The sequence below is a fragment of the Homo sapiens genome, chromosome 3 (genome assembly GCF_000001405.40).
Source record: "Homo sapiens chromosome 3, GRCh38.p14 Primary Assembly".
NCBI lineage: Eukaryota > Metazoa > Chordata > Mammalia > Primates > Hominidae > Homo > Homo sapiens.
This window is the reverse complement of record NC_000003.12, coordinates 118,900,018-118,924,978: the sequence shown is the minus strand read 5'-3', so window position 1 is coordinate 118,924,978 and position 24,961 is coordinate 118,900,018. Positions and strand designations below refer to the sequence as shown.

The following is a 24,961-nucleotide window of genomic DNA, read 5'->3' as shown; positions in this document are numbered from 1 at the left end:
TTGTCAATCTCACCATTGTAAGTGACATGATTAAAATAGCCCTTGTCTTGACATACTGAAAACTATATTCAAATTTTAGATTTTCCACTGTTTCTGTAACAGTTCACTTCTCTGGGCCCTTGTTGCTTTTTTTTAAACAAAAATAAAGGGGTATCATCCTCAAGGTCCTCTGTGGCAGTATTTTCTTTTTTTATTTATAATATCTCTGTGAAATATTGGTTGGAGTTTGGAATTTTAAGTGAACAATTGACAGTGGTTATTTGTATGTAAGTTGAGAAATAGCTGTAGAAAGAGCCTTCCATAACCTCTTTATTTCTGGATGAGTGTATATCAGTCAGATTTCTTGATATCATATCCTTTTTTCAACTTGAATACTCTTTGCAACTTTAGGTATAAAAGTGAACTTGAATGAGACGGATGAAAACTTTGTCTTCTATAAAATCTGGATTGATTATCAAAGTTACTTTGGATAACCATATCTATTAATCATGTACATTAAATGGTAATATTTTTAATCTAAATTTATCTCTTGATACCCATATTAATAAAGTTGATCTCAAAATAGAATATTGCTCCAAAATAATTTAGATTTTTTTCAGAAGATTTACTTTACTAATTATGTTTAAAATTATTAATATAAACTCATGATGCATTTTCTGAAAAAAGAATATTTGACACCAGGAAAGTGAATCCCGGAAGTCTGATTGGTGACAGAGGAATAATATTTTGAGATTTGAATTTCTCTTATATGTAGAGACTAGCTTGAGGGAACTCGCTCTGGCCAAATCTAGGACAATTCAAACATTAAATATATAGTCCATAGAATAAAATAAGAATCACCAAATCCCTACTGATAAATAAATGGGGTCAAAGGGCAAGCTGTTTTTTTTCACAGTATGATGCCAACTAATGTGTATACAAGGAATCATGGAGTTAGAAAATCATCATTGAGGTGAAAACAGCAAAAGTTTGATGGGAAGCAGGCTATTTAGTTACAAAGTATGTCCCCACAAATTGCTTATTAATGACAAAAAAGTAACTTCGTAAGGGAGAGACCTGTTGGATACCACTTTAACCAAGTGATCAAAGTAAACTTCACCAATATTGTGACAAACTGCTATCACGTACCTCCTAATATATGTACTGAGAAGGACACATCATTTCTGTGATATTGCTGTCAAAAACACATAACCTAAATCTCATTATGAGGAAACCTCAAACAAACAAACGTGAAGGCAAAACTGTTCAAATTGAAAAAGACTAGGGAGTTAACCCTGAGGTTGCAATTTTTTTATTTTTTGCAATCAGACCTTGGCGATGACCTTGAGCAGTAGGATGTAAATAACTCCCACATGCTTAGCGTTCCAATAATGGAACACTGGGCATAAGTGGGTTAAGATGACTAGATGTAATGAAGAATCTTGGCTTAGAATCTGAACAGGAAAAGAAATAGCTATAAAGGACATGGTTGAGATAATTGATGAAACAATATAAACTATAGATTAGCTAATACTATTAGATCAGAGTTAAATTTCTCGACTTTGATACGTGTACTGTCATTACATAAAATGTGTCTTTGTTCTTAGGAAGTATTCACTAAAGTACTTAGTGGTAAAAAGGCATGATGTCTTCAACCTTATAAAAGAGACTGAGCGCACTAACTAGTTCCTTTCACCAAGTAAGGACTGTGAAGCAAGTTTACTGTGCACTGGTTACTTGCCCGAGTCTGGTGAGACAGAGCATTCATACACAAAACAAGTTTCATGAAGTGGATTTATTATTTAATAGGCAGCAAAGGACAACAGAAGCCTAGCATTCATTGAAAGCCAGTTCCCCAAGGCTCAGAAAAGCTTCCTGGAACAGATAGAGTCTCTTATGCACATGTCCACTTGCACGTCAGCTGAGAGAACCCGGAAAGCAGCTCACTCTGAGTTTTATACCTGAGTATCACTGCATTAAAGTGTTTAAGGACATCCTGTTTCTAGGAGGGTCTGGAACAGAGCCTGAGGTGTTCCAGTCAGTTCCTTCTTAACTCAGGATGTTGCATTCCCAGCATGTTCTATAGTTATTCTTGAGAACAGCAAGCAAGAAAGTGGGAAGAACTGAGTTGGTCCCAGACCACCCAAAGAACTGTCCTGAAAGGGCACAGCAAGAAGACATCATCATCTGGAAACCAGGAAATGGGCTCTTACCAGACACTGAATCTGCTGGGGTCTTAATCTTGGAGCTCCCAGCCTTCCAGAACTATGAGAAATAAATTTCTGTTGCTTATAAAATACCCAGTTGATGGTGTTTTGTTATAGCAGCCTAAACAGATAAGACAATGAGGAGTCTAAAATAGTTGAACTGGTAGAAACAGAGAATAAAATGGTGGTTTCCATGGGCTGGGGAGTGGGGGAAATGGGGAGATGTGGGTTAAAGGGTACAAAGTTGCAGTTATTCAGGATGAATAAATCCTGGAGATCTAATGTACACTATGGTGCCTATATTTAGCATTACTGTATTGTATGCTAGAAATTTGCTGGGAGGAGATCTTAACTGTTCCCAGCCACACACACACACACACACAAAGGTAGTTATGTGATGTGATTGACATGTTAATTAGATTGGTTGTGGTAATCTTTTCACAGTATATATGTATATCAAAATATATACCATAAATATATACAATTTTTGTTAGTCAATTGTGCTTCAATAAAGCTGGGGAAGAAAGAAAAACAATTGCATAATGCACAAGGAAAGCCCTCGCAACAAATAATTATCTGGGACCAAATTTCAATAAATAAGTTACACTTAACGTTTTCTATTGCTAAAACATCCCTGCATTTATGGAATAAAGTCTTTTTGATTGTGATTTTTAAAAATAAATTGTTCCATTGGGTTTGCCAATATTATAATAAAATATTTGCATCAGTGATCACCAGTGAGAATGGCCTATGGGTTTTTTTTTTCTGTCTTCTATTGTCCTGGTTCAATTTTAGTATCATATAATACCAAATAATTTTATGAGTTTGGCAGCTTTTCCTTTTTTCTATTCTTTGAAATAGTATGAATAAGTTGGGCATCATGATGATTCTATAGAATTTGCCTACTAAAATTTGCCTTGCTCTTATGTTTTTTGGTAGATTTTTGACTACTGATTTAATTTCTCTAATGGTACAGATTTTCTCTACCCTATTTTTCTGGAAAATGTGTTTTTTGTCCAAGTTATACATATCACCATCAAGATGTTCATAGAATTCTCTATACAAAAACAGAATAATGTATGTAAGAGTGTAAGTTCTGGAGACAGTGGACATAGTTTTGAACCCTGAATCCAGGAATCACTGGGTATGTGCCCTTGTGTCTTAGTTTTCTTATATGTAAAATGGAGACAATCATCGTGACTAACTTATGGTTGGATGAAGACTGAATGAATAAGCATGTAAGATGTGCAGAACAGCAGCTGGCATGTGTAAGTCCCTACTAAATATTAATATTTAAATTACCATCATTATTCTCTTATGAAGTTTTAAACTCTGTATTTAGTCTCCTTTTCATTCCTAATACTGTTTATATGTGCCTTTCCTCTATTTTTAAAATCTATCTTGCTAAACTCAGATTTTGATTTTATCTAACCTTTTGTAACTTGCATAAATTTCCTTCCTCCCTCCCGCCAATGTTTGTTAAGCACCTATCAGGTGCCAGAAACTGTTCTAGGTGCTGAAGATACATTGCTGAACAGGATAGATATTCTTCCCTTTGTAGAGCTTACATTCTAATGGTTGGAGATGGAATATAATCAGCAAATTGCAGAATTTGTTACAAGGTGAAAAGTTCTGTGGGGAAAAATTAGATCAGGGTAAGACAGATTAGTTAGGGGATGAGGAGCAGCAATTTTGAGTAAGGTGCTTAGGGTAAGCCTCATTATATTCTAACAAATATTTAAAGATAATGAAGGAATGAGCCATGTGAATATGGGGACTGGAGAGCATTCCAGGTAGAGGGAATGGACATATGAAGGCTTTGAGGCAGGCGTGTGCCCATGTACTTGATGAATATCAAAGAGGCCAGTGTGTTTGGAGTGCAGCCAGCAAGGTGGAGAATTTAAGAGCCATTATATTGCAGGTGTTAGGGTATTTGTACATGCATTGCATAGGAAGCATTATAATTGTATTATTCAATATGCTATATCTTTAGCAATATTTTACATGCTTCAGCTATGTTATTATGAGAAATATGTGTTTAAAAATCACACTGTAAGACTGTGGATTTGTCAATTTGTTCTTATAATTATGCCAATTTTCTTTACCCATTTTGAGTGTGTGTCATTAGATGCTTACAAGCTTGTTATATTTCGTTTTTCTCTGTGTTTAATAAGCTTTTTGTGTTATTTTTAATTATTAAAATTAAAAGATGCAGTGGCTTTCTTTGGTCAATTCTTGTTGGTACGTTACTATTGTATGGTTCATTGGCATTCAGTTCTCCATGCTTTATGTTTTAGGTGTATTGCTTATAAACAACATATATCTGGATTTAGATGGGTTTTCAATCTGTCATCTGAGAGCTTCTGTCCTCTGAAATCATTGATTATGGGTATGGTTCAATGTCTAATATTTTATTGGAGGTTTTCTATTTATTTATTTATTTATTTATTTAATTTATTTATTTTTTGATATTTAAAGAGGTCTTTTATTTAAATCATCTTGTATCATGTCTGACACATTATTGTTTTTTTTTTTATACTTTAAGTTTTAGGGTACATGTGCACATTGTGCAGGTTAGTTACATATGTATACATGTGCCATGCTGGTGCTCTGCACCCACTAACTCGTCATCTAGCCTTAGGTATATCTCCCAATGCTATCCCTCCCCCCTCCCCCCACCCCACCACAGTCCCCAGAGTGTGGTATTCCCCTTCATGTGTCCAGGTGATCTCATTGTTCAATTCCCACCTATGAGTGAGAATATACGGTGTTTGGTTTTTTGTTCTTGCGATAGTTTACTGAGAATGATGATTTCCAATTTCATCCATGTCCCTACAAAGGATATGAACTCATCATTTTTTATGGCTGCATAGTATTCCATGGTGTATATGTGCCACATTTTCTTAATCCAGTCTATCATTGTTGGACATTTGGGTTGGTTCCAAGTCTTTGCTATTGTGAATAATGCCGCAATAAACATACGTGTGCATGTGTCTTTATAGCAGCATGATTTATAGTCCTTTGGGTATATACCAAGTAATGGGATGGCTGGGTCAAATGGTATTTCTAGTTCTAGATCCCTGAGGAATCGCCACACTGACTTCCACAATGGTTGAACTAGTTTACAGTCCCACCAACAGTGTAAAAGTGTTCCTATTTCTCCACATCCTCTCCAGCACCTGTTGTTTCCTGACTTTTTAATGATTGCCATTCTAACTGGTGTGAGATGATATCTCATAGTGGTTTTGATTTGCATTTCTCTGATGGCCAGTGATGATGAGCATTTTTTCATGTGTCTTTTGGCTGCATAAATGTCTTCTTTTGAGAAGTGTCTGTTCATGTCCTTCGCCCACTTTTTGATGGGGTTGTTTGTTTTTTTCTTGTAAATTTGTTTGAGTTCATTGTAGATTCTGGATATTAGCCCTTTGTCAGATGAGTAGGTTGTGAAAATTTTCTCCCATGTTGTAGGTTGCCTGTTCACTCTGATGGTAGTTTCTTTTGCTGTGCAGAAACTCTTTAGTTTAATTAGATCCCATTTGTCAATTTTGGCTTTTGTTGCCATTGCTTTTGGTGTTTTGGACATGAAGTCCTTGCCCACGCCTATGTCCTGAATGGTAATGCCTAGGTTTTCTTCTAGGGTTTTTATGGTTTTAGGTCTAACATTTAAATCTTTAATCCATCTTGAATTGATTTTTCTATAAGGTGTAAGGAAGGGATCCAGTTTCAGCTTTCTACATATGGCTAGCCAGTTTTCCCAGCCCCATTTATTAAATAGGGAATCCTTTCCCCATTGCTTGTTTTTCTCAGGTTTGTCAAAGATCAGATAGTTGTAGGTATGCGGCGTTATTTCTGAGGGCTCTGTTCTGTTCCATTGATCTATATCTCTGTTTTGGTACCAGTACCATGCTGTTTTGGTTACTGTAGCCTTGTAGTATAGTTTGAAGTCAGGTAGTGTGATGCCTCCAGCTTTGTTCTTTTGGCTTAGGATTGACTTGGCGATGCGGGCTCTTTTTTTGTTCCATATGAACTTTAAAGTAGTTTTTTCCAATTCTGTGAAGAAAGTCATTGGTAGCTTGATGGGGATGGCATTGAATCTGTAAATTACCTTGGGCAGTATGGCCATTTTCACGATATTGATTCTTCCTACCCATGAGCATGGAATGTTCTTCCATTTGTTTGTATCCTCTTTTATTTCATTGAGCAGTGGTTTGTAGTTCTCCTCGAAGAGGTCCTTCACATCCCTTGTAAGTTGGATTCCTAGGTATTTTATTCTCTTTGAAGCAATTGTGAATGGGAGTTCACTCATGATTTGGCTCTCTGTTTGTCTGTTGTTGGTGTATAAGAATGCTTGTGATTTTTGTACATTGATTTTGTATCCTGAGACTTTGCTGAAGTTGCTTATCAGCTTAAGGAGATTTTGGGCTGAGACGATGGGGTTTTCTAGATAAACAATCATGTCGTCTGCAAACAGGGACAATTTGACTTCCTCTTTTCCTAATTGAATACCTTTTATTTCCTTCTCCTGCCTGATTGCCCTGGCCAGAACTCCCAACACTATGTTGAATAGGAGCGGTGAGAGAGGGCATCCCTGTCTTGTGCCAGTTTTCAAAGGGAATGCTTCCAGTTTTTGCCCATTCAGTATGATATTGGCTGTGGGTTTGTCATAGATAGCTCTTATTATTTTGAAATACGTCCCATCAATACCTAATTTATTGAGAGTTTTTAGCATGAAGGGTTGTTGAATTTTGTCAAAGGCTTTTTCTGCATCTATTGGGATAATCATGTGGTTTTTGTCTTTGGCTCTGTTTATATGCTGGATTACATTTATTGATTTGCGTATATTGAACCAGCCTTGCATCCCAGGGATGAAGCCCACTTGATCATGGTGGATAAGCTTTTTGATGTGCTGCTGGATTCGGTTTGCCAGTATTTTATTGAGGATTTTTGCATCAATGTTCATCAAGGATATTGGCCTAAAATTCTCTTTTTTGGTTGTGTCTCTGCCCGGCTTTGGTATCAGAATGATGTTGGCCTCATAAAATGAGTTAGGGAGGATTCCCTCTTTTTCTATTGATTGGAATAGTTTCAGAAGGAATGGTACCAGTTCCTCCTTGTACCTCTGGTAGAATTCGGCTGTGAATCCATCTGGTCCTGGACTCTTTTTGGTTGGTAAACTATTGATTATTGCCACAATTTCAGCTCCTGTTATTGGTCTATTCAGAGATTCAACTTCTTCCTGGTTTAGTCTTGGGAGAGTGTATGTGTCGAGGAATGTATCCATTTCTTCTAGATTTTCTAGTTTATTTGTGTAGAGGTGTTTGTAGTATTCTCTGATGGTAGTTTGTATTTCTGTGGGATCGGTGGTGATACCCCTTTATCATTTTTTATTGTGTCTGTTTGATTCTTCTCTCTTTTTTTCTTTATTAGTCTTGCTAGTGGTCTATCAATTTTGTTGATCCTTTCAGAAAACCAGCTCCTGGATTCATTGATTTTTTGAAGGGTTTTTTGTGTCTCTATTTCCTTCAGTTCTGCTCTGATTTTAGTTATTTCTTGCCTTCTGCTAGCTTTTGAATGTGTTTGCTCTTGCTTTTCTAGTTCTTTTAATTGTGATGTTAGGGTGTCAATTTTGGATCTTTCCTGCTTTCTCTTGTGGGCATTTAGTGCTATAAATTTCCCTCTACACACTGCTTTGAATGCGTCCCAGAGATTCTGCTATGTTGTGTCTTTGTTCTCATTGGTTTCAAAGAACATCTTTATTTCTGCCTTCATTTCCTTATGTACCCAGTAGTCATCCAGGAGCAGGTTGTTCAGTTTCCATGTAGCTGAGCAGTTTTGAGTGAGATTCTTAATCCTGAGTTCTAGTTTGATTGCACTGTGGTCTGAGAGACAGTTTGTTATAATTTCTGTTCTTTCACATTTGCTGAGGAGAGCTTTACTTCCAACTATGTGGTCAATTTTGGAATAGGTGTGGTGTGGTGCTGAAAAAAATGTATATTCTGTTGATTTGGGGTGGAGAGTTCTGTAGATGTCTATTCGGTCCACTTGGTGCAGAGCTGAGTTCAATTCCTGGGTATCCTTGTTGACTTTCTGTCTCGTTGATCTGTCTAATGTTGACAGTGGGGTGTTAAAGTCTCCCATTATTAATGTTTGGGAGTCTAAGTCTCTTTGTAGGTCACTCAGGACTTGCTTTATGAATCAGGGTGCTCCTGTATTGGGTGCATATATATTTAGGATAGTTAGCTCCTCTTGTTGAATTGATCCCTTTACCATTATGTAATGGCCTTCATTGTCTCTTTTGATCTTTGTTGGTTTAAAGTCTGTTTTATCAGAGACTAGGATTGCAACCCCTGCCTTTTTTAGTTTTCCATTTGCTTGGTAGATCTTCCTCCATCCTTTTATTTTGAGCCTATGTGTATCTCTGCACGTGAGATGGGTTTCCTGAATACAGCACACTGATGGGTCTTGACTCTTTATCCAACTCGCCAGTCTGTGTCTTTTAATTGGAGCATTTAGTCCATTTACATTTAAAGTTAATAGTGTTATGTGTGAATTTGATCCTGTCATTATGATGTTAGCTGGTGATTTTGCTCGTTAGTTGATGCAGTTTCTTCCTAGTCTCGATGGTCTTTACATTTTGGCATGATTTTGCAGCGGCTGCTACCGGTTGTTCCTTTCCATGTTTAGCGCTTCCTTCAGGAGCTCTTTTAGGGCAGGCTTGGTGGTGACAAAATCTCTCAGCATTTGCTTGTCTGTAAAGTATTTTATTTCTCCTTCACTTATGAAGCTTAGTTTGGCTGGATATGAAATTCTGGGTTGAAAATTCTTTTCTTTAAGAATGTTGAATATCGGCCCCCACTCTCTTCTGGCTTGTAGGGTTTCTGCCAAGAGATCCGCTGTTAGTCTGATGGGCTTCCCTTTGAGGGTAACCCGACCTTTCTCTCTGGCTGCCCTTAACATTTTTTCCTTCATTTCAACTTTGGTGAATCTGACAATTATGTGTCTTGGAGTTGCTCTTCTCGAGGAGTATCTTTGTGGCGTTCTCTGTATTTCCTGAATCTGAACATTGGCCTGCCTTGCTAGATTGGGGAAGTTCTCCTGGATAATATCCTGCAGAGTGTTTTCCAACTTGGTTCCATTCTCCGCATCACTTTCAGGTACACCAATCAGACGTAGATTTGGTCTTTTCACATAGTCCCATATTTCTTGGAGGCTTTGCTCATTTCTTTTTATTCTTTTTTCTCTAAACTTCCCTTCTCACTTCATTTCATTCATTTCATCTTCCATTGCTGATACCCTTTCTTCCAGTTGATCGCATCGGCTCCTGAGGCTTCTGCATTCTTCACGTAGTTCTCGAGCCTTGGTTTTCAGCTCCATCAGCTCCTTTAAGCACTTCTCTGTATTGGTTATTCTAGTTATACATTCTTCTAAATTTTTTTCAAAGTTTTCAACTTCTTTGCCTTTGGTTTGAATGTCCTCCCGTAGCTCAGAGTAATTTGATCGTCTGAAGCCTTCTTCTCTCAGCTCGTCAAAATCTTTCTCCATCCAGCTTTGTTCCATTGCTGGTGAGGAACTGTGTTCCTTTGGAGGAGGAGAGGCGCTCTGCATTTTAGAGTTTCCAGTTTTTCTGTTCTGTTTTTTCCCCATCTTTGTGGTTTTATCTACTTTTGGTCTTTGATGATGGTGATGTACAGATGGGTTTTCGGTGTGGATGTCCTTTCTGTTTGTTAGTTTTCCTTCTAACAGACAGGACCCTCAGCTGCAGGTCTGTTGGAATACCCTGCAGTGTGAGGTGTCACTGTGCCCCTGCTGGGGGGTGCCTCCCAGTTAGGCTGCTCGGGGGTCAGGGGTCAGGGACCCACTTGAGGAGGCAGTCTGCCCGTTCTCAGATCTCCAGCTGCGTGCTGGGAGAACCACTGCTCTCTTCAAAGCTGTCAGACAGGGACATTTAAGTGTGCAGAGGTTACTGCTGTCTTTTTGTTTGTCTGTGCCCTGCCCCCAGAGGTGGAGCCTACAGAGGCAGGCAGGCCTCCTTGAGCTGTGGTGGGCTCCACCCAGTTGGAGCTTCCCGGCTGCTTTGTTTACCTAAGCAAGCCTGGGCAATGGTGGGCGCCCCTCCCCCAGCCTCGCTGCCGCCTTGCAGTTTGATCTCAGACTGCTGTGCTAGCAATCAGCGAGACTCCGTGGGCGTAGGACCCTCCGAGCCAGGTGTGGGATATAGTCTCGTGGTGCGCCGTTTTTTAAGCCGGTCTGAAAAGCGCCATATTCGGGTGGGAGTGACCCGATTTTCCAGGTGCGTCCGTCACCCCTTTCTTTGACTCGGAAAGAGAACTCCCTGACCCCTTGCGCTTCCCAGGTGAGGCAATGCCTCGCCCTGCTTCGGCTCGCACACGGTGCGCGCACCCACTGGCCTGCGCCCACTGTCTGGCACTCCCTAGTGAGATGAACCCGGTACCTCAGATGGAAATGCAGAAATCACCCGTCTTCTGCGTCGCTCACGCTGGGAGCTGTAGACCGGAGCTGTTCCTATTCGGCCATCTTGGCTCCTCCCCGATTTTCTATTTATTAAGCTTTTTTCTTTATGCCCCCTCTTCCCATATCTTCTACTGATTATTTGAATATTCTTTATAATATTTTTTCTCCTCTACTTTCAGAGTTATAAGTGTATTTCTCTTCGTGCTTATTCTTAAAGTTCTCAAATGCATACTTGATTTAATGTAGTCTAGAAGTAAAAAAAAACTCTACTCTCTATCCAAATAATAGGACCATAGAAAGCTGTCTTTCTTCCATTTTCCCTAATCCTTGTGAATATTTCGTCTCATCAGTTCTTTCTCTTCTCTCCTATTAGCCATTTTTTGGACCTTTTCATTCAGTCCACCATAACTCTCAGCTTCTGTCTGATATGTTTAATTTCTGTGTTTGTATTGTCTGCATTTTAGTTATTTTCTTGGCTTTAGTATATTTGTTCCACCTTATTTTTAACTTTTCTCCTTATTAATCATCCCCATTTTCATCATCGTTTACGTATACATTACGGTTTTATTTAGATTTACCCACAAGTTTGCCATTTTTTTTGCTCCATTGCTTCTTTCATCACAGTCATTTTTTCTGTGTTCCATTTTCTTATAGTAAAGTACACACACCCTTCAGTAGGTATTACATTGATGATCTATGAGTGTTGTTGTTCTCATGTTTGTTTTTCTGAAAATATCTTTTTTCCCTACACTCTTTAATGCAGTTTAGTGAGTATAAATGCTAGGTTATCAGTTATTGTTTCTCAAGAATTTGAAAATGTTTCATTTTCTTCCCACCTTTCTTGTTTCTGTTGAGAAATCTGCTGGTAGTCTGTAGGCATTTGTGTTTTCCTTCCTTTGCTTTTTGCAGTTGTTTTGTACTTGGTGTTCTGTAGATCCTAGAATATATTTTAGGTATGTGTTAATTTTTATTAATCCTGCTATGGGCTTGTGGTGCTTCTTAAATTGAGAGATTGTATTTTTTGTCACTTCTGGAAAAATCTCTGTCCTTATATTTTTGAATATAGCCTTTTCTCTTCTTTCTTTATTGTTTCCTGTTAGCTCTTGGTTTAGTCTTTTAATTCTGTAAACCATGTTTTTTTAATCCTTTGCTTATCCGTAAATGTCTTTACCTTCTTTACCTTTCTGTGTGGCATTCTGGTTTTTTTTTTGTTTTTGTTTTTTATTTTTCCAGATCACCTGTTCTCTCTTCTACTCTGATGGCTGTTCAGCTTATCCATTGAGTTTTGAATTTATTTTCTTCTTTTCTTTCCTTCTTTTAAGAGATGGAGTCTCGTTCTGTCATCCAGGCTGCAGTGCAGTGGCACAATCACTGCTCACTGCAACTTCAAACTCCTGGCCCTTAAGCAATCCTCCTACCTCAGCCTCCCGAGTAGCTGGGATTACAGATGTGAGCCACAGCACCTGGCTATTTCTATGTTGCCTTTGTCTCTTCATGGCATCATCCTCTTTTATTATGGTGACTATTCTGTATATGTTTAATAATTGTAAGCATACTAATTTTATAGTGACCTTCACATAACTTTATGCTCTTTGTATGCTAATCCTCCTGTTTGTTGTGTAGTTAACTTTTCTTCATGGTGATATTCCTTTCCTGTTTCCCTCATGTGAACGCTTCACCTGGATTGTTCTATAGTTTCTCTAAGCTGTAGGTTATGTTTTCTATTTGTTTCTGCCAACAGCTCTAGAGGTTTTGGGAAGATGAAGGGATGAGCAAAACAGGAAAGGGATGATTGTCCATACAGTGAGTGTGGTCGGGCGGCTGGGCCCTGTACTGGTGAGTGAGATGATTGGAGATGTGAGGCAACACGGGATTTGTCCTGCAGCAATTGAAAATCCAGGGCTGGAGCTAGCTCACAGGAGCTGCATATCAAGCCATGGAGTGGAATTCCTTCCTGGAATGACACCCACTCTCCAAGTCCTGCAGCTTCTTGGCAACCAAGGATGGAGATAAGCACAGTTGTTTCTCACAATGGTCAGTAAAACTTGAACTCAGAAAGGAAAGCTGAGGGATAATTAGAAAAAAAACACCTCCCTTCTGACTTAAAGGGGAGAATAACCTTCACACTTTAAAGATGCACAGAGAACTTTAAAATGTGTTTTTAAAAATTATATGCAAATAATGGCAATTCATTTTCTATCCATTCTTTTATCTTGGTAAATATAAAGTATAGTGTATTTATTTTCATTATTAATGGTTAACATTTTCTGAAACTAGATTATACGTTTTTCTTTCATGGTTTGTAAGAAATCCTCTGTTTTCCTCATCCTTTCATAATTTAATACAGTGAAGAGAGATGATTATCTCTCGTGCTTGCCTGTGAACTCTGTGTAGATCTTTAGAGATCATAGCTATAGCAGGAGAGTATCTTAAATATCACCATGGTCCCACTCTCATGTTACAAGGGAGAAGACTGAGGCTCCTAGAAGAGACCAGGTTTGCCCAAAACTGATAGGAAGGACTAAAATTCTTTTGGCGTGGTTGTAACACTCAGGAATCTTGATATTCTCTCTCTCTCTCTTTCTCTCTCTCTCTCTCTGTGTCTCCTCTCCTCTCTCTCACTTTCTATCTCTTCTCTCTCCTCTCTCCTCTTTGTTCTCTCTCTCTCTCTTCTCTCATTTTTTAGAGACAAAGTCTTGCTCTGTTACCCACCCAGGCTGGAGTGCAGTGGCATGATGACAGCTTACTGTAACCTCACACTCCTGGGCTCAAGTTATCTTCCTGCCTTAGTGTCCTGATGGGGCCTTGCTATGTTGACCAAGCTGGTCTCAAATGCGTCGGCCTCCCAAAGTGCTGGGACTATAGGTGTGAGCCACCACACGCAGCCTGATTCTGTTTCTTGAACTGACACTGCTGTTTCCCCTCCCAGTAAGAGTGGTTCCATAATTTTTTTCATGGGGAGCAGAAAATTTTCACCCACTAAAAGTGCTGAATAAACAAGTGCTTATTTCTCCTTCATCAAGATGTTATTCTAACTGAAGTTGAGTTTTTTCTCCCTTTTTTTTTGCCCTCTGACATGAAGCAAACCCCATATAGTGTTCAGTACTTCCTCTTTTTTAAAAGATTAAATGTCAACAGTTATAACTGTATTAATTTGTGTATATATTCATTCATTTTTACATATATGTGTGTGTGTGTGCACACACACATAAACATACACCTTACTCTGCAACTGCTTCAGAGTTGAGTGTTGGGGCAGGTGGAGAAATACAAGGAAACATATCTCCATCCTAGAGCTCACTGCCTAATGGAGGAGACAGATATAAAGAGAAAATCATAGCACTACATGTTAATGCTATGAAAATGTATGCAGTGCTATAAAATTTAAATGATAGAAATATTACTTGTTCCTGAAGAGTCCAGGAAGAACTTTGTAGGGAAAAGGATTCCCAAGCAGGAAAAGGTTCTTAAATGATGGATAGAAGTTTTACTGGTTAAAAGTGGGTATTATAAATACAGGGAACTATGCTTGCAAAATCTTGCAAGTGTAAAAGTTTGACATTTTTAGTGAGAAGATCTGTGAAGCTGACATAAAGGTTCGTGGGGATTTGACCAGAGAGGAGCTGGAAAAGGTGAAGTCCAGATTGTGAAAGGCTTTATATAATATGCAAGGAGTTTGGATGTTATCTTTAACTGTAGAGATGCACTGACATTTATAAACAAGAGATCACCAGATACGCATTTTAGAAACTGTGTCAGTAATCAGGCTGAAAGATTGGCAGCCAGTCATAAATGGAAGGCTTTGTTAATAGCCCCATCAAGAAATGACAAGGACCTGAACTAAGTCCCTAGTGACAGGGGTGGAGAAGGCACAGTGGGGGAGGGTAAGATTCAAGAGAGATTGAGGAAAATATTACAATATATGGGGCTCGATTAGATGTTTAAACTCAGAAGAGTCAGAGTTAACTCAGATTCCTGTTGTGGGGCACTGAATCAACAGTAACCATCTTAACTCAGAAGAGAAATTTGTAGAAGTTTGCTTGAGGAAAGCAGTGAGTTAGTGGTCTCCTGGGACCTCTATATGGGGATTGAAATAATGATAATGGTAACATTTCTTGAACACCATGTGCCATTCTTTGAGAATTAAAGAGCAACAGTCAACATAGAGATATACTGATTCAGAAGAATCTTGATGTCCAGTTAAACCTAAAAGCAGAGTCAACAGAAGTGGGTAGGAGAGAAGCAGTCAAAATCTAATTAGTTGGTCTTGCTTGTAGCTTTTGCCATGTGATAAGTGTGTGGTCATGGCCTTCTTGTATGTTGCTAATGATGAATCATTCTTGCAAAGAAATACTAATGTATTTATACACACTACATTATTCAAATAATGCTGAGTAATGTTCATTGGTATTTTCACAAGTTTGAATATTTGCTATAAGCTTCAGCTCCTTGTGAATACTTGAATGGCAGAAACACAAATAGAAGAGGGTGAGAATGTTGCTCTGCAGTATACTAACATGACATCAGAAATGAATCTAAAATCTGATTTGGCAAAAGCAATATCTGTTTCAATGCCAAACCAAAATCAGGGCAAACAGACAAAATATTTTTATCATTGTCTAAAGGCACTGAGCTGCTGTGAAGCAGGATGTATCCTAACATCCATCTGGACGGTGCCCTTGGAAATTCTATTAATGGGAACAGGTTCTTTCCCTGTCCCTTCTCCATCTATGCCTTAATTCAGCCAGCATCAACACAAAATGAAATAAAATTTTCTGTGTCCAATGTTATATTTTAAATTTATCTTTAATAGAGTTTGATATTAAGTATTTGTGATGTCATCTTTAAGTTTTTCCACAGATTTTTGACATTTATTTTGTATTTCCCTTTATTTACAATTTTTAAAAAATTAAATATCTTTTTCAGGTTAGGATCATTTTTACATATTATTGAAATATATAATTTTGATGTAACATATTCATTCAAATAACAAGTATACATCCATTATTATATAGCCTACAGAATACTTCTGAAACTTTTATATAAGAAATGTTCAGTTTATTATAGTTACTCATTATTTAAAATATATAAGTCATATGAAAATATATAATTATGATTTAAGAATTCTTATCTAACTCTTCAAATCCTGAAGATCAATATCTATTGGGAATTAATATCCATTGGGAGACACTAGACATTTTTCATATTTCTTGACTGAATTTTTTTATGATTCGGAAAAATATATCAGTTCCCCTAGAAGTACCAGGAAGGAATTCCCACATGGAAACATTACCATATACTATACTAACCTTTCATTTAGTCCTCACAGTAATCTACAGTTTGTAGGCACTTTGGTAGCTCCATATTACAGATGAGGAAACTAAAATATAGATGAAGAACAGGGAACACACTCAAGACCATATGACCAGTAGTAGGTAGAATAGACTCAAACTTAGGCTGTCTAACTGGAACATGCTCTTAGCAGATACATCAGCTACTAGGCAGCCAGAGGCAGCATTCTGGAACTAAGGAGAAAGGATGGAACTGGAAATGTACACTAACATTTGTTTTTTTCTAATTCAGAAGGGCCTTCTGTGCCAGATACGTAGCTGGTGAACCAAGTGCATAGTTGCTATGAACTAAAACAGTGGAGTGTGAGGTCCTTTGAGTTCCCCAAACTATGTAGTTTCATGCCATTGAACTTTCCCTATTCTTTAAAAGAAGCTAAAAAATATATTTATTCTCTATTTCAGAAAAATACTTCCCTGCCTGAGCAGACCAAGTGAAATGACAGATGGCAGAATTAGCCTGCTAGTTTTGGGAAGGGCTATGTGCTTTGTGGCTGCAAACAGTCTGCTGTTTGCTGGAGTTGCTCTCTTCTCTATTTTGCCTTGTCACATAAACAGGGCTGTTTTGTTCTGGTTAATCTTCTGTTATCAATGTACCTGTCTCCTTCCCTGATTATATTCCAAGTTAAATCTACCATGGTATATCAACTTCATTTAATAATATTATCTTACAGAAACATGGTCATAGTATTGGCATCTATAGAGACAAAAGGAAGACATTGACTTCACCTTTTAAAAATAACTTTTCAAAGCAAGAGTCTTTACAGTTTACCTCTTTCTACATGCCAGAATGCTGCGTAGAGGAGCTGTTTAAAATTTCCCAAATTGTCTCTGGAAATGTCAACAAAATTACCAGTTTGGTGTGAGCTCATCAAATTTTTAGAATTCCAGAGCTTAGGGGAAAACCCACCACCACCACTACCAACAACAACAACAAAAACCCCAGGAACACAAATTATGTGGTTGATTGCCCAGAGATTATGGTTTTCTTGCGTTGATGATATTAGTACATGTGTACATGAAGAGGGAGATAGGCACATTGCTTAGTTTATATTACTAACAGCATTGGAACATTTATTGGTCAGGAAATATTCTATAGGTGCATCCTCTAGAATAATGTGGTTTTAAATGCCTTACTAGAGTGCCAAGTGTATGTATGGTGAGTATAAGCTTTGGACTTGGACAAACCTCATTTTATAGATTGCTGCTACTTGTGTACTCTGTGATCTTGGACAAATTTCATAGCTTTTTTGAGTTATCTTTGAAAAGTAGGGAATATAGAACATAAGCTTGTTACGAACATTAAATGAGGCATATTTAATGCTGTTAGTGCAGTGTATGTGGTACACAACAGACGCTAAAGAGTAGGCAGCACTTTTATTTATTGATCACTTTTATTTAGCACCTTTCTGTGTGCCTGGCAATTTCTGAGACAGCAATTATTTTCTCCTCCCCTGTAGTCTATTTGATTTCTCAATCCCTCATTAGATGTCCCTCCTGTATGCTCCCCTATCCCCCTCTGTTCTCTAGCACTGGCTGGCACTTATTCCATATATTGTAATTGTGTGTATACTTGTCTCATTAGGGTAAGGGACTGGGCCTGTCTTGTTCATTATTTTATCACCATCCTCAGAAAACCAAGCACAAAGGAAGATGCTCAATAAATATTTATTTATTAAATGAATGAATTAATAAATGCTGCACACTTTACTCAGATCTGCTTTTGCTGACTCCTCGTGTCTGCTTCTGCCTTTGATCTAGATAGAGATGATGATTGCCAGCAGAAACCAGTTAACTAAATCTTAGTTCCATGTAAAAATAAGTAACCCAGGATGGGGATAGCTCTAGGTGTTGCCCCAGGCATACTTGGACTTTGTGTCAGAATATTTTTTTACTTGTCCTGTTAGGAGGCTTTTCCATTTACTTCTAAATTTGCAGCTATTTTGAATGGTTGAGATGACAGAATGTATTCTCTTTCCTGCATAAGGAGGGCAGTGAAGCCTAGAGCTTAGAGGTGAGACAGCCCCTTCATCCAATTGAATTTCCTAACAACCAGCTGTGTAATCTTATTAAACATCTAAAGCTTCAGTCTCCTTGACTGTTCAATGAGATTAATAATAAAAATACCTCAGGGTAATTGTAAAGATTGAAATAATACATATAAAAGCTTACCCAATGCCTGGAACATACTAATAACTATTAACTTTTTAAAGTTATTCCTGTAAGTCATTTGTATTTTATAGGAATAAATAATCAAACTATGCTAATGTTGATGAATTACTAAAATGTGAACTATTGAAGCATTTCTTGGCAATACCAGTGCAGTGGCCTTGAAAATTTGTTGTTCAAACTCCTGATGTGGGGAACATAATTGACTGAAAGCCATGCTGCTTCCCCTGTAGATCCACCACTGCTTTGCACCAAGACCAAGCTTCCCCTGGGCTGCTCCCAGCCAGTGATGAGGAATTAGGGTTAGGGTTAGGGCCTAATGCAGGCCTATTTCTGCAAAGCATGGGACTCCCTTAACAGGTGACTTTGGCTCAGGGACTCCCCATCTGCCTGGTGGACACTTCCATAAAACTGTGTTGCAGCCTGAGACTCTTCCTACCCAATCTTCCTTGCTTCCCTGTCCCCTTGACAGTGAGTGGTGAGATCTACACCGAAGTCTGAGGCTCTCCCTGCCTTCTGCAGCTTCCTCTCACATTTCCTTTACTGGTATTTCCTCCAGGCAACCTCACACTTGTCTTGGTGTCTGCTTCTTGGAGGATCTGAGCTAACACAAACAACTGTAATTGTTGTTGTTAGGGAGTAACAGTCTATACCTTAGAGCACAGATTTGATATTTTCTTCATCAGGTATGAAGTTAAAGTTATTATAAGTTTAACATGATCTTTATGTTATTGCAGTTCCTCAGAACTAGAATTTGGTGTTACCTTAAATTCCCTAGGATAAGTATTAGCTACCATTTCCTCAGGGAAGTCTACTAACATTTAGGACTTTACATGCTTACCTGCAGATTCAGTTTTAAGATTGTTCTGATTTAGGACAGCGCTCCAAAGTTCCAGGTCTTTAAAGTGATATAGTAGTTTTAGTCTTTAACATTCATGAACCAATAATTTCTCACCCTACCCCCACAAAAAAGAAATTTATTGATAGCTCTCCAGTGTTCGTCTGTTTTTATGGTCTTCCGCTGATTTCTTTGGTTTTGCTATTAGTCCCGCCAAATCCTCACTCGGTTATTATTTTTGTGACAGACCAGGTCCAGGGAACAGTCACCATCCGGAACATCAGTGCCCTGTCTTCAGGTTTGTACCAGTGCGTGGCTTCTAATGCTATTGGAACCAGCACCTGTCTTCTGGATCTCCAGGTTATTTCACGTAAGCATATGGAAATTCTGATGTCAACCATGGGTCTGAAACTCTAAGATCTTTGTTATACCAGAAAATGAAGGGTTCTGCTGAATTGTCTTAAGGTTATCTGAAGATTAAATAGAAATTGTTTTGGTTTTAATTATTATTGAAAATTGTTTATAAATGTTTTAGTATACTTTCCAGCCTCAGCAATATGATAATCTTTATGAAAAAATATCTTTCTCCTCAGGATCAATAAAGTTGGATAGTTTCTTATTGTATAATGCTATAGACATTATAAAAATGGTAATAATCTTATGAGTATAGTAAGACTTTCTTGTGTTTTTTCCTTGTTTCTTTTATCTGCAAAATTTTGGGGTGTCTAGGTTATAAATGGCAGTGTAGAAAACTTCTCTTTAGTTGAGAATTCTGGGATATTTGAATTCCAGTTGCAAAAGGGAGTGATCTGGCTGGGTTGAGGTAGAAGGATATCCCCTAGTTTCCAGCATTCATGTAGGGTAGACCAGGCAAGTTAGATTGGTGCTGTCTGTTACCTAATGTGGGTATTGTTCTCCTAAAATGTGCAAGTCATTTAATTGTTTATTCATTCAAAATATGTTCAGAGCCTACTATGTGTTAGTCCTAGCCACTGACAATATAGAAAGTTAATTGAGGTTTAACTTTATATAGATGAAAGATTTTAGAGAGTTTTATACGTTTTAAGCAGATTATTTAGTAAGCTTATGTGCTTATTACAGTTGCATGGGTATATGCTATTTCTCTCTTTCTCTTTTCTTTAAATATATCTTAAATATATTTTGCAGCCCAGCCCAGGAACATTGGACTAATAGCTGGAGCCATTGGCACTGGTGCAGTTATTATCATTTTTTGCATTGCACTAATTTTAGGGGCATTCTTTTACTGGAGAAGCAAAAATAAAGAGGAGGAAGAAGAAGAAATTCCTAATGAAATAAGGTTTGTATGTCAGATTTTTAAAATTTGTCCTGCATAGCCATTGTGTACTTCTATTCATTTGTGTCAGTTAAGATATATCTACTAATCATAAAACTCTGATGGCCGAGACTATTAAAGTGGCTAAATGGTATTTTCTTGTATATCACTTTTCTTCATGGTACTACTCAGCTTTATTCACTGGATCATGAAGGAGGGAAAGGTCCAGCATGTGCCCAACTAGGAGGATACAAATGAAGAGTTCTCCTTATCTTCCGTGTCTCCAGGGTAGGCAGGGTTAGGTGGCTGCCACAATGGGAAAGGTAGTGTCTAAAACGTGTTTACTATTGACATTTATAATAGATGTGAACATAAAGCAAGAAGGAACTCCGTAAGAGCATACCAGTGCCTGTACACAGTCAGACCACAGCACTATGGCTCAGAAAGGTAGTTCAGACAAGAATATGAACATCTTAAGAAAACAATGCCAACATCATCTTTAAAGAAAAGTGACTCTAGTCATACTGGGGAGATTTGAGGGTTCGGGCTCAGTCTCAGATTTCATCATGGCATATCTTTATTGAAAATGCTGTAATGACTCCAGTCTCCATAGTGAGACATACCACAGCCTTACAGGATCTGATTCTTGCCTGCGTATCTTCTCTCTCATCACTCTCAGCTCACTTTGCCTTCCAGTCTGTCCTGCATTTTCCCATTGCTCAGGGCTTTTGCTCAAGCCTCTGCTCTCTTCCTGGACCATGCTTTTCATTTGATCCATCTCTTTACTAAATTCCTTGATCTGATTCTAGATTAGGCCAGGCATCACCTCCTCACATAAGTTGTCTTTAGCCCCTTGCCTAACCTTTCAGACTCGTAAACATTCTTGCACTGATTACTACCCTCATTGACTATAGGTTTCTTAGGTGTAGGATTTGTGTCTTTTTTACATGAAACATATTGTAAAGTGTACCCAATAAATGTTAAATGAATTGGTTAGCATCTTAAATTAAATAAATGACTTCTTTTAGACTGTTGTAATTCTTAAGCGTTTGGGCCATATGCAGGGATAGAGTCTACCCCAGGATAAGATTACTGAGGAAAACCTCTCATCAGCACCCCACAGTGATTTCTCAAACTCCAAAGGGTAATACAATCAGGCCAACTCTGATTATTTCTTTAAGTTCTGCATACCTATAGTTTGATTTCCCAGCTATTTTATGGCACCTAGTTTAGTAGATTTCTTCATGGACTAATTTCCTACTTACAGTAAATATTTATGTGTGAATAAATATTTACTATATATGAATACTATATATATAAAGCAAGATACTAAATATTTACTATATATATAAAGCAAGATTTGTTATATATTTACTATATGATATATAAACATATTTATGTGAATGTTATTTACATATATGTTTAAAAGTTGTATTGGAAGAGACATTCTCTGAGAGATCTGAGATTTCCTTTTCTACTGTTGGAGACTGAGAAGCTGAGGAGAGATTTTCTTGACCGTTGTCTCAAAGGGAATGGATACCAAAGCTGAGGCCATCCAGGGTTGCCATGCCTGCTTTCACGATAGAGTAGTCTCTCCTGGATTTGTTTTTTGGATGTATAAGCCCTGACATGAAAAGAAAGATTCCAGGGTAGGAGGATAGGATTAACTTGAAGTAAATCCTAACAACGACTTTATTTTGTTCCTTTCAGAGAGGATGATCTTCCACCCAAGTGTTCTTCTGCCAAAGCATTTCACACTGAGATTTCCTCCTCGGACAACAACACACTAACCTCTTCCAATGCCTACAACAGTCGATACTGGAGCAACAATCCAAAAGTTCATAGAAACACAGAGTCAGTCAGCCACTTCAGTGACTTGGGCCAATCTTTCTCTTTCCACTCAGGCAATGCCAACATACCATCCATTTATGCTAATGGGACCCATCTGGTCCCGGGTCAACATAAGACTCTGGTAGTGACAGCCAACAGAGGGTCATCACCACAGGTGATGTCCAGGAGCAATGGCTCAGTCAGTAGGAAGCCTCGGCCTCCACACACTCATTCCTACACCATCAGCCACGCAACACTGGAACGAATTGGTGCAGTACCTGTCATGGTACCAGCCCAGAGTCGGGCCGGGTCCTTGGTATAGGACATGAGGAAATGTTGTGTTCAGAAATGAATAAATGGAATGCCCTCATACAAGGGGGAGGGTGGGGTGGGGAGTGCTGGGAAAGAAACACTTCCTTATAATTATATTAGTAAAATGCACAAAGAAGAAGGCAGTGCTGTTACTTGGCCACTAAGATGTGTAAAATGGACTGAAATGCTCCATCATGAAGACTTGCTTCCCCACCAAAGATGTCCTGGGATTCTGCTGGATCTCAAAGATGTGCCAAGCCAAGGAAAAAGATACAAGAGCAGAATAGTACTTAAAATCCAAACTGCCGCCCAGATGGGCTTGTTCTTCATGCCTAACTTAATAATTTTTAAGAGATTAAAGTGCCAGATGGAGTTTAAATATTGAAATTATTTTAAAAGGTAGGTGTCTTTAAGAAAATAACAAGCAACCCTGTGATATGTTCCGTCTCTCCCAATTCCCTCGTTATATAGAGGGCTTAATGGTATAAATGGTTAATATTGGTCCCAACAGGGCTGACTCTTCTATCATATAATCAAAACTTTTTACATGAGCAAAATTCAGTAAGAAATGGGGGAAGACAAAGGAAACGTCTTTGAGAAGCCCCTTCATATTTATTTATTTATCTCTTCCTGAACCATGAATTTCATATGTGGAATATTGCTATATTGACAGATTCTTGCCTGTCTGTGTTATTCTAGGATCTGTTACAGGTCCATGGCAATTACTGTTTATTTTTTCCTGGAAAAATATTTTTTTATAAAAGGCTTTTTTTTTTTTTTAAATACATGAGAGGCATTGGGCTAAGAAAGAAAAGACTGTTGTATAATACCTTGTTCAATGGTTGTATTTAGTGAGCTCATAGAGGTCCATCATATCATGACCGAGCTAGGTTGTGTGGGCAGGAAGGTAGGGCTAAGGGGTTGTAGCCTTGCTGGGCAGCCTCTCAGAGCAAGGTTGTTCAGATCTCCCTTGCTATTACAGTAGGTTACTATTAATGAGGGCAGCACCTGATGCCTTTTGTACTGAGGTATGTAACTTTCTCCTTATTTGACAAGTAGAAGTTAACTTACTTGTCAGGGAGGGCAGACGTTTTTTTGTTCTGTTTCGTTTTTCAAAATAATGCTTTTTGCAAAAGAGGTAAGACTGAGACTAAAGGTGTTATCTTCTGGTGTGCTCCTGGAAGTGTCTACCCTACATTTGTGTCAGCTCAGGGTTGCAGTGTTGCCCAGATGCATTTTACATCACTGTAAAGAGATTACTTTTGTGGTTACTACCTGGCTTGGCTGGCCTTGCGGTTCACCAGATTAATTTACAAACTCCCCCACTTTATTTTGTGCTATGTAGATCTGGCCATACTTGCATTAGTGACTGTCTTGCCTTAACCACACTTAAGCAACCCACAAATTTCTTCTCAGATTTGTTTCCTAGATTACTTATGATACTCATCCCATGTCTCAATAAGAGTGTCTTTTCTTTCTGGATGTGTTCTCTTACTCCCTCTTACCACCATACTTTTTGCTCTCTTCTCCTGCAAGCGTAGTCTTCACAGGGAGTGGCTTCCTGACATTTTTTTCAGTTATGTGAATGAATGGAAACCAACAGCTGCTGCAAACACTGTTTTTCCAAGAAGGCTACACTCAGAACCTAACCATTGCCAACCATTTCAGTATTGATAAAAAGCTGAATTTACTTTAGCATTACTTATTTTTTTTTCCATTTGATGGTTCTTACTTTGTAAAAATTTAAATAAATGAATGTCTATACTTTTTATAAAGAAAAGTGAAAATACCATGACACTGAAAAGATGATGCTATCAGATGCTGTTTAGAAAGCATTTATCTTGCATTTCTTTATTCTTTCTAATTATCTAAAATTCAATAAAATTTTATTCATATAAAATAAGTTGTCATTAATTATCAATACTAACGAGTATGTCATTTTAAAACTTAGTATTCTCTTTAATGTTACAAGATTTTCTCCATCCTGTTAAATAATATTTATAATTATTTTAACAGGCACATGCTATTCCAAAAATGACTTAATCTTTCTCTTAAATTTAGTTTGATTCCAGTTCTTACCCATATGACTGAAGATTAATGACCTTCTTCATACATTGAGCTATTTTCCCATTTCCTAGAGTGAAAGTTCATGAAGACAGTCTCTATGCTTGCCTTTTTCACCGCTGAATCTCCATCACCTACCACGGTGCCTCATGTGGGTGTTGAGTAGATAAATGCTGATTTCTGAATTGAAATTGCTAAGTCGAGTTATGAGCATGATTGTAGCTCTTGATGTGTACTGGATCATTCCTTTGTTTTAACTTTTTATTTTGAGATAATTATACTTTTACATGCAGTTGTAAGAAATAATAGAGAAGTCATATACCTTTTACCTATTTCTCCCAATGGTAACATCTTGCATAATTATTGTGCAGTATCACAAGTTGACATGGTTATAATTTATCAGCCATATTCAGATTTCCACACTTGTACATGCACTCGTGTGTATACA

The 24,961-nt window shown here is 38.0% G+C and overlaps 1 protein-coding gene across 11 annotated transcripts in view; it reads left to right on the top strand.

The window, feature by feature from the left end:
• IGSF11 (immunoglobulin superfamily member 11) overlaps positions 1 to 24,422 on the top strand; it is a 245,464-nt gene extending 221,042 nt beyond the window's left edge. For 5 of the 11 annotated variants that reach the window (NM_001353320.2, NM_152538.4, NM_001015887.3 and 2 more), the window contains 3 exons: positions 19,261 to 19,383; positions 20,181 to 20,331; positions 22,018 to 24,422. In NM_001353320.2, the coding sequence (NP_001340249.1) occupies positions 19,261 to 19,383; positions 20,181 to 20,331; positions 22,018 to 22,459 (716 nt within the window). In that variant the 3' untranslated portion in view covers positions 22,460 to 24,422. The remainder of the gene's footprint in view (positions 1 to 19,260; positions 19,384 to 20,180; positions 20,332 to 22,017) is intronic. The other 6 variants (NM_001353322.2, NM_001353321.2, NM_001353326.2 and 3 more) reach the window with 3 other exon arrangements.
• Positions 24,423 to 24,961: the final 539 nt, after the last annotated feature.